General features: G+C 39.7%; 1 protein-coding gene across 1 annotated transcript in view; it reads left to right on the top strand.

Moving 5' to 3' along the window:
• Positions 1–18,377, top strand: part of CATSPERB (catsper channel auxiliary subunit beta) — a 151,389-nt gene that overhangs the window by 44,235 nt on the left and 88,777 nt on the right. The window contains exons 11-14 of the mRNA NM_024764.4: positions 3,909–3,975; positions 13,630–13,676; positions 14,836–14,985; positions 17,880–18,038. Coding sequence (NP_079040.2) covers positions 3,909–3,975; positions 13,630–13,676; positions 14,836–14,985; positions 17,880–18,038 — 423 coding nt within the window. The remainder of the gene's footprint in view (positions 1–3,908; positions 3,976–13,629; positions 13,677–14,835; positions 14,986–17,879; positions 18,039–18,377) is intronic.

Below are 18,377 nucleotides of genomic sequence, written 5' to 3'. Positions count from 1 at the left end.
TCTTGAGTAGCTGGAATTACAGGTGTGTTCTACCACGCTCAGCTAATTTTTGTATTTTTGGTAGAGATAGGGTTTCACCATGTTAGCCAGGCTGGTCTCAAACTCCTGACCTCAAGTGATCTACCCACCTTGGCCTCCCAGAGTGCTGGGATTACAGGCGTGAGTCACCGCACCCAGCTTAGATAAGGATTTTTGAACAGAGACATCTTAGCCAATGTGGGCTGCTATAACAAAATTACCATAGACTGGGTGGCTTATACAGAACAGAAATTTATTTCTCACAGTTCTGGAGCCTGGACAGTCCAAGATAAAGGCACAGGCAAATTCAGTGTCTGGTGAGGGCTGCCTTCCTGGTTCATAGACAGCCATCTGTTCACTGTGCCCTCACGTGGCAGAGGGGCAAGGGATCTCCCTGGGTTCTCTTTTATAAGAGGACTAATTCGATTCACTGAATCACCCCCACATCAAATAAGGGTACTAATTCCATTCACCTTATCACCTCCCAAAGGCCCCACCTCCCTCCCATACAGCCTATAGCAAGAAAGGACATGTTGCAAGGGAAATGAGCATTTTCAACACCTAAAAATTATGATGTTCAAATAGGTAATACATTCACATAGTTAAAAACTAAAAAAGTTACAAAAAGATATAGACTGAGAAGTCTCTATCCCACCTCTCTGTATATTCACCCTGATTTTTCCCTGTCCCTTACAGGTAATCTTTTTTTATTTTATATCTTTTCAGCATTTTCTAATGGAAATTCAAATAATTATGAATATAATGAATATATATACTTTTCTTCCTTTTATTATACTATATACAAAGTATGCTAAATTATTTTCTTCACTTATCAATAATTATCATAGGAAAAAATCCATATTAGTAAATGGAGAATAGCCTCTTTTTCTTTTGTTTTTTGTTTCTTTTTTCCAGCTACAAGTATTCCATTGTATGAACTAGCCAGAGTTTATTTAAATTATCATCCATTGCTGGATGCTTGGGTAATTTCCCAATATTTTGCTATTACAAACAATGCTCCCATGAATAATTTTGTACCTAGAAATTTTATGTGTCCAGACATATAGATACAATACATCCTAGAACTTGATTGGGAGATCAAGGGATAAATACTTATGCACTTTTAAAAAATAATCACGAATTGTCCTTCATGGAAGTTTTTATAATTAGCAAGGATATTATAATAAGTCCTATTAAACTAAAATATCTTAGTAAAACTCATTGATGGTTGATAGTGATGAGGGAGAGGGGAAATACAGTGTTCCAAAGGTAGAAGGGTGCTGGGATTGGGGAGTGGAGGGAGGGGAAAAAGTGAAATTATTTTTAAGAGTTTAAGGATCTATCTTTAAATAAGACCTCTTTTACTAATGATTGAAGCAAAGGTGTTCAGAATGAGATATATGTGGGTGTTTAGACAGGTAGTTGAACATGTGAATACTTAATGATTTATTCATTCAGTAAGTCTCATCCATTCAACAAATATTTGTTGAGCACTTCCTATATTCCATGCTTATTCAGACAAGAATGATTCCATAGTGAACGAGACAAAGTCCCTACTTTCATGTAGCTTAACATTCAACTGAGGGGGCTAGATCATTAAAAAATACACAAACAAATACATAATGTGATTTTAGATAGTAATAAGTGCTCGTTGAAATTAAAGCAGAGTAAGAGAAAGAGTGAGGGGAAGATAATATTCTGTTTTAAATAGGGTGATTAAAGCAGGCCTTTTCAAAGAGATGAAATTTAAGCAGAAACTTGAGTAACTTGGAATAATTATTTTGACACAGCATTTCCAGTCAAAGGTAATAGGAAGTATAAGATCCCTAAATTAGGGATTTGGCATGAGATAAAATCTGTTAGTTATCCACCAAAATCTGTTTAGTGGCAACAGCAAGGAATATGGATCACTTCTTTAAGGATAAAATTAAAATTCTTGTGACACACAAAATGCTTACTGCTTCAGCCTGAGTGTGCCTGCCTCTACCTGCAGCCATCCTGCCCCTACTGCAGCCATCCTGCCTGGCCATGCTAAACCACTCACCTTCCCTGAATGTGCTAACATTTCTCACACCTCGACTCCTTTGCATAACATGTTTTGTCTTCTTAGCATGCACTGCTTCCTCCTATTTCACTTAGAGAATTTCAACTCATTCTTCAGAAATCCCTCCCTGACCACCAAGGTGCTCCTCCTGTGCATGCTCCAAGTTCTCAGCACAAATTCCTATCATTATCACCCTATTTTGTCTGTTGAGCCCCCAGACTAGCCTCACAAGATTTTAGGTTCCGGTCAAGATCTATCTTATTTACTATTGTATCCCGATAAATTACCACACGGCCTTGCACATAGGCAGTCTCAATGAATATTTATTGAGTCAATGAGTGAATAAATGAAGACAGACTGGATTCAAATTTTGGACTAACTTATCAGCCATGTAACATAAAATTTTGAACAAGTTGTATAACTCTCTGGACCTCAATTTCTTCATTTTAAAATGAGCATAACAATATCTACCTCTTAGAAATGAGGTGATTAAGTAACATTACATATGAAAAATCTCAGTACAGTACATGGCACAATGTAGATACTTAAAAAAATTCGTTGGCGGCCAGTCATAGTGGCTCATGCCTATAGTCCCAGTGCTTTACAAAGCCAAAGCAGGAGAATTGCTTAAGTTCAGGAGCTCTAGACTAGCCTGGGCAATATAGTGAGACTCCTTTCCCTCAAAAAATTAAAAAATTACCCAGGCATGGTGGTGCACACCTGTAGTCCCAGCTGTTTGGGAGGCTGAGGCGGGAGGATTTATTAAGCTGAAGAGTTTGAGGCTGGAGTGAGCTACGATCATGCCACTGCACTCTAGCCTGGGTGACAGAGCCAGGACCCCATATCAATCAATCAATAAATAAAGTGACTCCTCGGTCAGCGCAGTGGCTCACACCTATAATGCCAGCACTTTGGGAGGCCGAGGGGGGTGGATCACTTGAGGTCAGGAGTTCGAGACCAGCCTGGCCAACATGGTGAAACCTTGTCTCTACTAAAATACAAAAAAAATTAGCCAGGCGTGGTGGCGTGTGACTATAATCCCAGCTACTCAGGAGGCTGAGGCAGGAGAATCACTTGAACCTGAGAGGTGGAGTTTGTAGTGAGCCGAAATTGTGCTACTGCACTCCAGCCTGGGCAACAGAGTAAGACTCCTTCTCAATTTAAAAAAAAAAAAAAAAAAAAAAGAAGTGTCTCCTCATGTGTTCAAGTTTTGTCATTAGATATCAGCAAAGGCTTTTGCACACAGATCATACAGATTTTATTATTAGTCTATAAAAATGTAAAAAAGTCTTTCTTACATCCCAACAGAAATTTGAAGGTCAGAATCTTCCTATAATAAAATAATCTCAAACTGTTGCATTTAATTAATATCCAACATTTATATCCAACATATTCAATATATTGAAGCTTGTCTCTCATGACCAATTTTCAAAACCTTTTTCCTGTTTCTTCTTGCTGCTGTCAGGCTTCTGGGAATGCTCCTTAAACCCAGCTGCCACTAATGAGGAATAAAAGATAAATATGTGACCCATTGTAACTGTGCTGAAAGACTAATGGCTTCTGGTAGCTTCTGAAAGACAGTTCATAGACAAGGGCATCCTCCATTAACATATGCTAATTCATGTGTGATTTCTTTTCTCTTTATGCCTTTTTTGTGCATTGTTCAAAATGTATATTCCTGTTTCCTGTCCTCATTCTACAGTCTTTTATTTGCATACAATTTTTGTCTCTTTGCCTCACATTCCTGAACTATCAAACTTTGAAATTTTTTAGTTTTTTCTATCTTATATCTTAAGATATCTTAAGTCTACATATTGGCTAAGTGATATTTTATTTATTTATGTAGGTTGACTATGTGAAAGGAAAACTGTGGTATAATGAAAGATGTTTTGCTAACAGAGAGCACTTTGAAGGTAAATTTTGGTTAAAGATATACTGTATTAAGAGACTTTTACATATATGTGTAACTGAATGCAAGCTCAGCCTTTGGAATGGTCTTTTAAGACCATTCCAAACTTTAGGCTGGGGAGGGTTTAAAAAGGGGCACTTGGGGTGGGAGGCATTCAGGAGTGATGCTGGGTGCAAGGTCTGTGTGTCCTGTCCCAGTGGCTATCTTGAGTCATGCTCCACCTGGAACATAGGCTAGTGTCATCTTCACGATGGCCAGGTTGTAGACTAACCTCCTTGAGGTAATCTCTGGAATTTCACAGCTGAGTCTCCATGTCTGATTTGTCTCAAAATTAGCCCCTGGAACTTCTAAGCAATCGCATAATTAGATAAGCCAGCAGTACAAGGGAGTGTCGGGTGGGAAGGGAGGGAAACCAAGAATTTCAAAGTATGCTTTCAAGGCTAAAAGCAAGAAAAGAAAAAACAGTTTCAAAAATGCATTTTTAACCTAAGCCACTCAGTTGCAACTTTCCATTGTGAAATTCCATTCCATTTCTATGGAAAGTGGGTGGCATAGTCGATCTGGCTATTTCCCGCTGAGAAGGGCCATAGTTAGGAGGTACCAGAATGGAATTTGTCCACCTGGAGTTGGAAATATTCTTGAGTTCCTAGACTTGCAGTAGGAATTTGCGGGAGCATTATGGTGCAGGGACATAGGAGTTTCTGAGAACATCTTTCCTGCATCCTTGTGCAGAGTATATAATAGCAATAAAATCCACAGCAGCCGAAGAGGACAATGAGCAAAATACCAATCGTGCTATATATGAAAGTCTTCCCTGCACTAAGGGGCTGACTAAACCAATCCGTTATTGGGAGAAGGTATCTATAGCAGAATATGAGTATCCAATGCATGCATAGGTTAGGTTATATTGTGAGAATAATCTAGTATATATAGACAACAGTCTTAATGCACTAGTGCCACTTTAGGCTGCAGTCAGGATATCTACAGCCATATAGTTTTGTAAGGCCACTTGCCTAATCTGGAAGTTTCTTCAGTAAGAAGAGTGATGGCATGGTGGGTGTTATTAAAGGCAGCAGCCATATGCTTAGCCAGGGCCTCTACTTGTAATTCTACATCTATGGTCACTGCCTGGGGGAAAAAGATGGCTAGTGGGTAAAACCACCAGGATGCCCATTTTTGACAGTGGTGTCTGGCGTTTGTGCTTTCCCAGTTGGCAGGCAGAGTCTAGATGGAACAGGATTCATCCTGGTAGGTAAGGGTGCTCCCAGATGCATCTGCCAGTCCAATCAAAGGATAGGAAGGGCCAACTGTGAGTGCCACAGGCCCATAAGCAGCCCCGGGGGAAGGGTTGACTCCATGTGAGAAGGAGCTGTTTTGCTACCCCAGCCATATAGTTGCTAGTCAGTTGAAGAGTTTGATTACATTCCTGGGGAGGTAACCATCCCATGTTACAGGTGTTAGCTTGAGGTGTGCTGCGGTTGTGGTGTTCAGTGCACAGTGGTGCTTGACCTATTACCTGTATTTGTACCTCTGTCAGCCATCTGACACCACTGTGTACAGCATATCCCAAGGTGGAGATGACATTGACCTGGTTGCAACTTAGTTGAAAAACATGTTTCCTGATTTCCTGGCAAATAGGAAATTCATGAGGCTTATGATGAGATGAGTTATGGCCATGAAAGGGAAATGGGTGAATTGCCCCATACCAGGTATAGAAATGACTCCAAGTACTTAGGTTGGTGGCTTGCACGCACCACGGCAAGCCTGCAGTGGAAGAAAGGGCAATTCCCCACAGACTCAGCAGTCTGTTCTATTCTGGAGGGAAGCCACCATTTGTGCCCATTCAGCAAAAAGGTTAGTTTCAGCAGAGATAAATAATGTATTCATGACTACAAAACTTGTTAAGTTCATGTTAAGAAAAGGATAGTACTTATCTGTGTGTTTTTTTTCTTTAATACAGCTTTAGGTCTTTTCTTGGCACACATGAACAGGCAGGCTGGTTGTCTGAGGTATCAGGTTGAGGATGAGCCTTCACCTGAGTGTGATGTATCCAGGGTTTAATTCCAGCCAGTTTGACAGATGAATGCATGGTCAGCAGTGCATCATAAGTCCCATCCATTTTTGACTAGCTGCCAGTCAGGTCCTTGTTTTTTTCCAAGACTTTTTAGCAGTACCTTAACTCTTGGTGGAAAGGGTGAAGGGGCTTGCCCCTAGGGTATGAGGACCTGGAAGCAGAAAACTGATGCATGGTTAGTAATGTCTGTCCTAACTGGTGTATGTATTGTTTAATTCTTAATTCATTTATTAGGTCTAAAGGCGGGACTCCCAGGGAGCGTCTCCCATAAACAATCTCAAAAGGGTTCAACCTGCTCCCACTTCGGGATGTTACCTTGACTCAGAGTAAGGCAATGGGAAAAATTCATCCCAAGTCAAATTACTTTCTTGACATATTTTGGCAATGCAATTTTTTTAGAGTGTGGCTTCTCTCTTTAGTTTTTCCTGTCATTGTGGTCTTTCAGATGACAATCTACAAGTTGTAGGAAGGGGTGAGTCACAGTTTGCCCTGACATTCCTGCAACCATCACAGTCTTTTTTGAATCAGAGGATAGGCAGATGTTAACTATAGAATATATAGCCCCCCATATCAATAAGAAAGTAAGTTTGTTCTCCATTGTCCATTATGCTCAGGGGTCCTGTGGGGACATGATGAAACGTTGGCTAAACGTACGAATTGAACAAGTTATAGGAGGACCTATGAATATTTATGAAAGTGGTCCTGACACATGCATATTGAACGAACATGCATATAACATATGACTCCGTTTACCTTGTGGGGAGACTTAATCGTTTTCTGGCATGGGCTTAGGTCCTGTTTATAATTTGATAGCTTATTGCCATAAAGAACCTGTTCTGTCAGTCTTATGATAATTAATAGTGGTCAATAGTAGTGTCTAAATCATAAAATGGAGGGAATATAATGAGGCATGCCTGACTTTCCATCCCATCATGGCTGGGGATTAAGTTTTTAAGGGTTTTTCTTGGGGTTCCCTTGGCCAAGGGGGAGGGTTTGTTCAGTTGGTAGGGGACTCAGTATTTTATTTTTTGGTTTATATTTCCTCTTTTTTGGTAAAGATATGCCAGAGGCAGTATCAATGGCCAAGTTTTACTTTGTCCCATACTAATGCTGGGGTGGTATGACTACCTTTCCCAGGTCTGTCATGCCCTCCAGTGGGACACCTATGGCCAAGGAACTTAGAGTCAAAAGACTTATAGCCAATTAAACATTTCAGGCCAGATTAGAATGGAGGTGGGCAGGCACTCATTAACCCTTAAAATTCCTTTTAAACAGCATAAGAGCTGAAAACCAAAAGCCAAAAACAAAGTTATAAAATTGACTTATGTATATATTTTATGCATTGGGCTGCTATAGTCTTAGCTTGTAGCAATTAGTTATACAAAACACAAGCATTTTGTTTAGCTGTTTAGGCATCTGTGTGCCTGTCCTTGATTTGGAGGTTCTGAACTAAGTTTATGCCTCAAAACCAGCCCTTATAATATCACATGACCACCACTTCTGCAATAGTCCCTGGGCCTAGAAGGATTGGATAGTTTCAGTTTTGGAGGTAAAGTAAAACATAATTGGCAACATTTCAAACAAAATGGTCATAAGCCTTGCCTCATTCTGAGAATGACAGGAAAGGAAGCTCACAGGTAGCTAAACATTTAAATTATTTAGAATTAAGGCACAGAATAAATTATATTAATTCAGATGGGGCAGAATTAGTAAATGAATCTTAATGTTTTTTAATACAGGCTTGTCCTGTGTCCTATTAAGGCAGTATACTTTGATTGTTGCCTTTGTCTGGGTCTAAAGATGAGGCTTTGGTTGACTTGAGATTGGTATCAGATACTGGCAGAGTCAGCGTCTTCTTTAGATGAGGTATGTCCATCTAGGAGTCAAAGCCCTGTAACTTAACAGCACATGGATTAGTTAATGGCACCTGTTAAGGACATTTTCAAGAGGCTGGAGATGGTGATACTGGAGTCTATGACCTGACTGGAAGCCATAAAAAGATTTACAGACTTGCATTGATTAATTTTTATAGCTTTGATGAGCCCAAGAAAGAGGTCAGAGATTTAATTTAGGATTTGATTTCAAGGACGTTTGTGAAAGATGTTAAAAGGCTCAAAACATTTGGTCAAAATAGAATGATAGGTCATTGTAAAACAATATTCATCTAACCAAAGTGATAATCAAAAGACTTTAAGGGCAACATAGAAGGTTATGTGGCTGTAAAAACCTTAACCCTTTTAAATCTGAGGTTTTTTAAGCCATCAAAAATCTAATAAAGACAACATAGAAATTATCTTGATAAGATGTAAAATCTTACATCTGATATAGGCCATCCATGGATATGGCATATGACATAGGCCATCTATGGCATGCTTAGACTTTCTATCTTGTCCTATATTATCTCTTTCCTAAACAACCATTTTACTTTAGGACAGAAATTTACCATATAAGATATTTCCTCATACAAAATTATTTTAATAAGAACACAACTTACAGAATTATATATTACCTAGTATTTTTATTTTTAATAACTTTAAACTTTAGTGAAAGCTTAGGAAGCAAGAAATCCTGAACTGTTTATCAGATGTTAACATTTTATAGATGAAATAATTCTACAAGTTTTATAAACATGTTTTCCCACATCATAACCCGTTTTTAGTTGGAAATGACCCAGACATCTAAATAAGCATCCAAAATAATTTTAAGATTTTAAATTTCATTTAAAGTTTACCTGCAAGCATTTACCCCATTTACACGTAACTTGATTTTTTCATTTTTAATCATTTATCTAGACTACTTTTGAAAATGGAGATATTAGACAGCACTAGTCATCATTTAAAGTTATTTTCCTGTTAACCATTTTTAAAGCTTGTAAACATCAGGGATTCACCTAAGAACCTTAAAGTTAAACACATGGGCATTTTGCTGACAACTTAGAAGATTCAGCTGTTTTTATTGAACCACCAATATTACATTAGTCTTATTTATCAAAAAAAATCATACAAACAAAGATCATTCTGCTTTTGGCTGGGTTTATAGCCTTATAACTTTTATGCCAAATCCAGACAGCTTAATCTATCTAGCAGAGGCAAATACAAAACATATCTAATCAGTAAACTCAGACAAAAATGTATGCTGACACTTCTGAAGACATTTCTATGTTAATTTTATTAATCATATTTAAAACCAGTTTTATTTATCAAAGATGCATGTGCACTTGAAGAGCTTTTGGATTTCATTTATGAGTACTCATTTACTTATAAGCCAGCTTGGTAGTGTGCCAGATATGACATATCACATAATACATCAACATCACATAAATATATCTAAACATGTATATGCACACACAAATATCCAATAGCTTTTACCTTAGAATTCTAGCCACAAGATAGCAATATAATCTCATCATTTTATAAAAGATAGCTGGATCTGAATTATTTTTGTGACAAAATTGGAATCTGTTCACATGGCTGAACTTTGTTTGCCTTAGTAGGTAATCCAAGAAAGGCAATGGACCAAAATTTGGCTAAAGCAGTCTTTACGGCAGTTCAGTTTTGTTTTTTATTTTACTTTAAGTTCCAGGATACAAGTGCAGAACGTGTAGGCTCGTTACATAGGTATATATGTGCCATGGTGGTTTGCTGCATCTTTCAACTGTCATCTAGGTTTTAAGCCCCACATGCATTAGCTATTTGTCCTAATGCTCTCTCCCCCCTTGCCCCCCACCTGCCAACTGGCCCTGGTGTGTGTTGTTCCCTTCCCTGTGTCCATGTGTTCTCACTGTTCAACTCCCACTTATGAGTAAGAACATGCGGTGTTTGGTTTTCTTCTGTTCCTGTGTTAGTTTGCTGAGGATTATGGCTTCCAGCTTCATCCATGTCCCTGCAAAGGACATGATCTCATTCCTTTTTAGGGCTGCATAGTATTCCATGGTGTACATGTACCCATTTTCTTTATCCCGTCTACCATTGATGGGTATTTGGGTTGGTTGCATGTCTTTGCTATTGTAACTAGTGCTGCAATACAGTAGCAAGTAGATAAGGGCCCAAATGCGCATGTGCCTTTATAGTAGAATGATTTATTTTCCTTAGAGTATATACCCAGTAATGGGATTGCTAGGTCAAATGACATTTCTGGTTCTAGATCCTTGAGGAATTGCCACACTGTCTCCACAATGGCTGAACTAATTTACATTCCCACCAACAGTGTAAAAGCGTTCCTATTTCTCCACAGCCTTGCCAGCATCTATTGTTTCTTGGCTTTTTAATAATCACCATTCTGACAGGTATAAGATGGTATCTCATTGTGGTTTTGATTTGCATTTCTTTAATGATTAGTGATGTTGCACTCTTTTTTCATATGTTTCTTGGCTGCATAAATGTCTTATTTTGAGAAGTGTCTGTTCATATCCTTTGCCCACTTTTTGATGGGATTTTTTTTCTTGTAAATTTGTTTAAGTTCCTTGTAGATTCTTTGTAGATTCTTGGGTAGATTACAAAAATATTCTCCCATTCGTAGGTTGCCTGTTCCCTCTAATGATAGTTTCTTTTGCTGTGCAGAAGCTCTTTAGTTTAATTAGATCCTGTTTGTCAATTTTGGCTTTTCTTACAATTGCTTTTGGTGTTTTCATCATGAAGTCTTTGCCCATGCCTATGTCCTGAATGGTATTGCCTAGGTTTTCTTCCAGGATTTTTATGGCTTTGGGTTTTACATTTAAGTGTTTAATCCATCTTGAATTAATTTTTCTATAAGGTGTGAGGAAGGGGTTCAGTTTCAGTTTTCTGCATATGGCTAGCCAGTTTTCCCAGCACCATTTATTAAATAGGGAATTCTTTCCCCATTGCTTGTTTTTCTCAGGTTTTTCGAAGATGAGATGGTTGTAGATGTGTGGTGTTATTTCTGAAGTCTCTGTTATGTTCCATTGGTCTAGATGTCTGTTTTGGTACCAGTACCATGCTGTATTGGTTACTGTAGACTTGTAGTATAGTTCGAAGTCAGGTAGCATGATGCTTCCAGCTTTGTTCTTTTTGCTTAGGATTGTCTTGGCTATACGGGCTCTTTTTTGGTTCCATACCATTGACATTCCTTACAGAATTTGAAAAAACTAATTTAAATTTCATGTGGCAGTTCAGTTTTTAAAAGTCTCTTTTATCCTTTTTTTCTTCCATTCCAAATGAGCTTCCAATGTTTACATTTCAGTTAGAACATAAATAATGAGTCTTAGCACCACAGCTTAGTAAAAGCAGATTCAAAGCAGATTCAAGGCAGGCAGAAAAAAAAAAAGAAGATAGAGAACTTTAGAACTCTGATTAACTTTATAGTTGCAAATTAACCATGTGAGCTCTGAATTTTTTTTGCTATAACTTGCCCCTCAGTTTAAAATGTGCACAGAAATGGACCATAATATGTGACCAGCTGGAGTCCCAAAGAGGATGACAAAATCAGGGGCCTTTAGTGAGCAGAGGAGCAGCCTATATTGATGCCTTGCTTTTGCCTCTGTATCAATAATTCCCTGCAACTAGATTGCCAGGAGTTGGGTGAATCCTCCTTATTTTACACAACCAGTGTTGATGGTACCATTCATGGTCCCAATAGGCATGCCTGTGTAAATTTTGCCACACAGTCAGGAGAGCCAAACATGTAAAAGAATTAATTTCCCCAACAGTCTAATGACTGGCGATGACCAATATAGCCTTTTTTTTAACACATCAACCTTAATCTAAGTTCAGGTCCTGCTGCAATCCCAGTAAGCAGTAATGGAAGGGCAACAAATGAGATGGCAAAACAAGTGGACAGAAAGGGCAAAAGAATTGGAGTTGGGACTGTTTAAACATTTATCCCAGGTATTTCCGACAAATAACATTGAAAACCGTAAGTGGGATACAGGCCCATTTAGATAACCCACAGAAGAATTCACATGCTTCTTTCCCCCATAAGATTTGGCACAGCTCTGAGAAGTACTTTGGGGTCCGAGAAAGAGCAACCCAGCCAAGAACCAGGGTGACAAAAGCTGTTCTACTTCAGGGTTGGATCCCTAGATTGAGTGGGGGGCTTAGACAGGCTGCCTTAAAGGGTAGAGAAAGAAGGAAAGAAAGTTGCAAGTAGATAAGGGCCCAAATGTAGATCACATACATACACAGATTCAGATGGTGCACTCCCAGGCTGATTCCCCATCAAGGGGACTAGATAAAAGTCCTGAAACCTTGTCTCAACTTCAGATGGCCCCATGAGCAGCTAGGTCAAAACAGAACAAAGCTCAAGTGGTGCCACAGATAAAGATGATGTACCTGCCCAGACAATGTCGCAAGCAGCTACATCCAAATGGAGCAGAGCTCAAGTGTTACCACAGAAGAGACAGAGGAGACCTGGGTGCATTCCAGTTGACTTATCCAGTTCTGAAGTCTGTTAGCTTCTTCACTTGTCACTTTCCCTGCACCAGCAAAGTGTAGTAGGCAGCTAACGCCATGACAGGGAGAGAAGGGAGATTTCCTGAGACTAAAGTATCTCAGCAGCTGCCAGGAAAATGCCCAGAGCCCCAGCTGCAGGGTCAGCTAGCCATCAGCAGCTAATATTCATGAGCAACTCTTGTCCCATCCAGTAGCATGAATAGGAAAGCCCTGACACACTGCTGCGGCCAATTGCCCCACTCGTTGCAAACCAGGTTGACAGACTAGACCACTCAAAATGCAGACTCCCTAAAGGGACTACCAAATTTGTAATGAATGCAAGCTTGGCTGCTTGCCACATATAAAGCCAAATGAACAAGGATGAGATGCAGTGAAAGGAAAGTGACTTTTATTCCAAAAGCCAGCAGTTGGGAGAGTGGCCAGGCTCACGCCTTTAAAAGACCATTCCAAACTTTAGGCTGGGGAGAGGAGTTTAGAAGGGGGAACTTGGGGTGGGAGGCATTCAGGAGTGATGCTGGGTGCAAGGTCTGTGTGTCCTGTCCCAGTGGCTATCTTGAGTCATGCTCCACCTGGAACATAGGCTGGTGTCATCTTCACGATGGCCAGGTTGTAGACTAACCTCCTTGAGGTAATCTCTGGAATTTTACAACTGAGTCTCCATGTCTGATTTGTTTCAAAATTAGCCCCTGGAACTTCTAAGCAAGAACATAATTAGATAAGCCAGCAGTGCATGGAGTGTCGAGTGGGAAGGGAGGGAAACAAAATTCCAAAGTATGTTTTCAAGGCAAAAATCAAGAAAGGAATAAAAAAAATTTTAAAATGCACTTTGAATCTAAGCTACTCAGTTACAACTAGATTAAATAAAATGACATAAAATAAAACTAGAACAAAATATAAAGACAAGTTTGCTTTATATAAGTTAATGGCCTAAAATAAAAAACATTCTAATTTAAATCTGAGACAATAGGTACACTTGAAATAGGGATAAGAAAATTAGATTTGAGTATACATTACTTGATGATACATAACTTTTATTATTATTATTATTTTCATTTACCATAAGTTTACTTGCAAAAATAATTTCTATGATTTTCATGAAGACTATTAAGACTAACCCTTCCAGTTTTAGAAATACAGATATGCTCATAATTCCTGTACCCTTGTATTTATTTCACAGTTGATTATGTTACAGTTACCTTTGAGAGAAACAGAACCCTAAGTGAGGTATGATATTGAATATTTTATAAGTTAAGAAATTTTGTTGTGGGATTGGGGACTTCATGGATTGGGATTAATCTAAAAAATGGCAATTCTACAGACTGAAAGGCTTCACAATCACTCTTTGCTCCCAGTGGTGTTTCTACTTGGGTTTATTAGTACTTACCTAATTATGTTAATCAGGACCTAAGCAATGGTTCTAGAAAAACAATTCGTACCAGAAAGACATGCATTGCAATGTTTTCTGGGCTCATATCCCTCAGAAGAGAGGCACAGACATTAAGGATTTTTTTTTTTTTTGAGACAGAGTCTCGCTCTGTCTCCAGGCTGGAGCGCAGTGGCATGATCTTGGCTCACTGCAACCTCTGCCTCCCAGGTTCAAGCAATTCTCCTGCCTCAGCATACCAAGTAGCTGGGACTACAGGCACGCTCCACCATGTCCAGCTAATTTTTGTATTTTTAGTAGAGACAGGGTTTCACCATGTTGGCCAGGATGGTCTTGATCTCTTGACCTCGTGACCCACCCCCCTTGGCCTCCCAAAGTGCTGGGGTTACAGGCGTGAGCACCAAACCCAGCCACATTAAGGATTTTTTAAAAAACAATTGTGATCAGTCAGAGCAACACTATGGTTGTTAATTTATTTTCCTACTGTTACTAAAACACCAGGGATTCAGTCTAGGTCCTGCTGCTTGCTGTATAGACTGCCAGTCACTGAGTCAACAAGTATTGCCAGGGAGAAGGCTTTAATCAGGTGCTGCAGCCAAGGAGAATGGTAGATAAAAATCTCAAACCTGTCTCTCTGAGTAAAATTGGGGGATTTACACAGAAAGGAAGGTAGGAAAACAGGAATTAGAGATGGGTGAAGAAGCAATCATGATGGATGAGGAGTCTGACTTCTCATTATCTGGGTGCAGTGATCCGTTGAGTTTCAGTTCCTTGCCTAAGGGTCGATTTCCTAAAGAAGGAATTCAGATGAGAAAAACGTTTTAAGACCAGGGAGTTTAAAGACCAGTGGGTTTTAAGACCAGGGAGGGAAGGTTAATTTCTATGTTTGTTCAAAAAACTGTAAATATTACTTCTATGAACAAGTGGGCTAGTTTCACTAAGAGAATTAGAACTTATATTTCAAAAACAGCATTAATTTTTCCCTTCTTTTTTTTATAGTCAAGCTCTTGTTTTTATAGTCAGGAACCATTTCTTGAATGGGTACCCTGCTTACCTCACATTTTTAAAGGAATAAAAATTTTTCCAACTGTGCTAACATTTCTTGTTGACCAAGAGCGTGGTACTGGAGTTTACCTCTTCTATAACAAGGTAGGCCTTATATCCCAGAGGGAATTTATCTTGACATGACAACAATAAAAATTTACCTTAGCAAAAGTTATTTTCAAGTTCTTGTTATGTCTGGCAATAGAACCTATAAAATTGGCTATAGCAAAATTATTTAAAATCAATAATATAGCTTGACACTTTAGAGATTTCTCACCTGGTCGTCATTCATTTTGATGAAAATGGAAAACGTGATGCTGTATGCATAGTGATTCTCCCTTGCTAATTCTCTAAAGAATATAAGCTGGGATTTTTCTATACAAATTTAAGATTCCATAAAATGGTTAATTAAACAGAAAAAAAAATGGAAGTAATTGCCACAGATCTATATTTTTTTCTTCCAAACGTCCTTAACCCTACCTGTGAATTAGAATTCTTCTTAGAGCCATTAAAAAACACATAAACTGACAGTTGTGATGGCTCATGCCTGTAATCCCAGCAACTCGGGAGGCTGAGGCAGGAGGCTTGAGGCCAGGATTTCAAAACCACAGTGAGGCACTACTGCACTCCAGCACACCAGGTGAGGTGACAGAGCAAAATCCAGTCTGAGAAAACAAACAAGCAAGCAAACAAAAAAACAAACAAACAAATAAAACCATAAGTTCGGCCCCTATCGTCAAGATTGTAGGGAAGGAAAAAGCTCTTTCCTCCATCTTCGTATGTTCAATGAGTGGAGCCTTGCAAATTAAACTGAAAAAAAAATATTAATAGGAGAAAACAGTTTATTTACATGTGCAGTGTGCACACATGGGAAACTCAGTGATGAGGTTAAAATTTGGAAGTTAGGTACCATCTTTTTGTTGTTGTTGTTGTTGTTGTTGTTGTTGTTTTTGAGACAGAGTCTCCCTCTGTTGCCCAGGCTGGAGTGCAGTGGTGCAATCTCGGCTCACTGCAAGCTCCGCCTCCCGGGTTCACGCCATTCTCCTGCCTCAGCCTCTCCGAGTAGCTGGGACTACAGGCGCCCGCCACCATGCCTGGCTAATTTTTTGTATTTTTAGTAGAGGCAGGGTTTCACCGTGGTCTCGATCTCCTGACCTCGTGATCTGCCCGCCTCGGCCTCCCAAAGTGCTGGGATTACAAGCGTGAGCCACCGAGCCTGGACGGTTAGGTACCATCTTAATAGGTGAAGGGGAAAGGGAGAAAACCATTTATGGAAAAACAAATTGCTTTTAAAAAAAAAGAAAAAAAGATAAATGGGTTTTCAGGACAGCAAACAGGAGATACGATTTTTTTTTGTTGGTTGGTTTTTTGGGGTTTTTTTGAGATGGGGTCTCGCTCTGCTGCCCAGGCTGGAGTGCAATGGTGCAATCTTGGCTCACTGCAACCTCGGCGCACTGCAACCTCTGCCTCCCAGGCTCAAGCGATTCTCCTGCCATAGCCTCCCAAGTAGCTGGGATTACAGGTGCCCACCACCACACCTGGTCAATTTTTGTATTTTTTAGTAGAGATGGGGTTTTGTCATGTTGGCCAGGCTGGTCTTGAACTCCTGACCTCAAGTGATCCACCCACGTTGGCGTCCCAAAGTGCTGGAATTGCAGGCATGAGCCACAGCGCCTGGCCAGGAGATATGAAAGTTTTTGATAATGTTTGTAAATCTAGGTATGAGTGGTCTTTCCTTCTCCTTCAGGGGTATAAAACTCCTCTGGAGAAGGGATTTGGGACAGGTTTTATTTACATTCTTCCTTCTAGGAGTAGATCTGCCCCAAGGAGGAATTTCTGTCAGCCTCATTTCCCAGCAGTTCCTGCTTTTAGTCAGACACAAAAGGCTCCAAAGTTTTTTCTCTGCATCTGTTGAATCTCAACAGTCTTCAGCTTAAAATTATCCTTATATAAAAGTGGCATTTTTTTGTTTTGAGACAGGGTCCCTGTCACCCAGGCTGGAGTGCAGTGGAGCGATCTTGGCTCACTGCAACCTCTGCCTCCCGGTTTCAAGAGATTCTCCCACCTCAGCCTCCCAAGTAACAGAAATTACAGGTGTGTGCCACCACGCCAGCTAATTTTTGTATTTTTAGTAGAGACAGGGTTTTGCCATGTTGTCCAGGCTGGCCTCGAACTCCTGGCCTCAAGTGATCCACCCAGTTCGGCCCCCCAAAGTGCTGGGATTATAGGCGTAAGCCACTGCGCCTGGCCAAAAGTGGCATATTTTGAGGTTTCATATCTCTTTTTTTTTTCTTTTGAGATGGTCTCACTCTCACTCAGGCTGGAGTGCAGTGGTGTGATCATAGTTCACCACAGACTCTAACTCCTGGCTCAAGCGATCCTCTGCCCCAGCCTGATTAGTAGCTGGGACTACAGGTTCATGCCACCATGCCTGGCTAATTTTTAATTTTTTTTTTTAATGCAACTGGGTCTCACTTTGTTGACCAGGCTGTTCTCAAATGCCTAGGCTCAAGCAATCCTCTCACATAGGCCTCCCAAAGTGCTGAGATTACAAGCCACTTTTATATAAAGATAATTTTAAGCTGAAGACTGCGCCTGGCCTGAGGTGTCATATTCTGATCCCATTTAAAATAATGGTTGAATAGAACTGGGGTGTGGCTTAGGCATCCACACTTTTGGCATGATAGTCATAAGCATGGGCTTTGGAGTCTGTCTGGCAAGTTCAGCAGTGATTCTATAATAAACCTCTCTTTGCTGTTAATTATAGAGCTTTCAACAAGTTATTTAATCTCCTAAACTTCATTTTCAACAACTATAAGATGGGTGTGTGGCAGGGGCCAGAGTGGTGGAGTAAAGAGGTAACAATTACTGCTAATCCTTCTAGTTCTATGTTGTGTTAGTGATTGTATCTCTCTCTTAATCAAAATGCAAGTAACAGGAAATTCTAAAATTTGTAACACAGACTAGTCTTATGACTTGCTCATTCTTTGTTTACCTAGGTCAGGAAAACTGCCATTGCCTCTGTGAGCACCCTGAGAAATAATGAACCAAATTCACAATCAAAATTTCCAATTTTTCGGTTTCCTTCATCATTCTCTTCTCCCGTTGGAATGGTATTTCATCCCCGAAGCCACTTTTTGTATGCTTATGGCAATCAGGTGCGTACACATGGAACTTCAGTCTGTGTTAGAGTTAAATCATCCACCTACTGTATGCTGCATGGCTGTACATTAAGAACAGAGCTTCTCTGATGACCTAGAGATGGCAGTGGGAGGGAAGACAATATTTATTGACTATTTATTGTATACTAAGCTTGGTGTCCATTATCAGTTTTTACCTTTCAGGTAGTTCATTGGCTGATGAAAATGAGCCATGGGTACATCAGAGTTAGCTTGAATGTTGCCAATTACTATACCTGTCTTTCCAGCTCTGAATTACTTAGATTTTGCCACTAATCCCATCAAAAGTGTATTTCTAACTGGTGTTTCCAGCATTTA

Source organism: Homo sapiens, chromosome 14 (assembly GCF_000001405.40).
Source record: "Homo sapiens chromosome 14, GRCh38.p14 Primary Assembly".
Classification (NCBI taxonomy): Eukaryota; Metazoa; Chordata; class Mammalia; order Primates; family Hominidae; genus Homo; species Homo sapiens.
The sequence above is the reverse complement of the archived record's forward strand: the minus strand, read 5'-3'. Positions and strand labels throughout refer to the sequence as shown.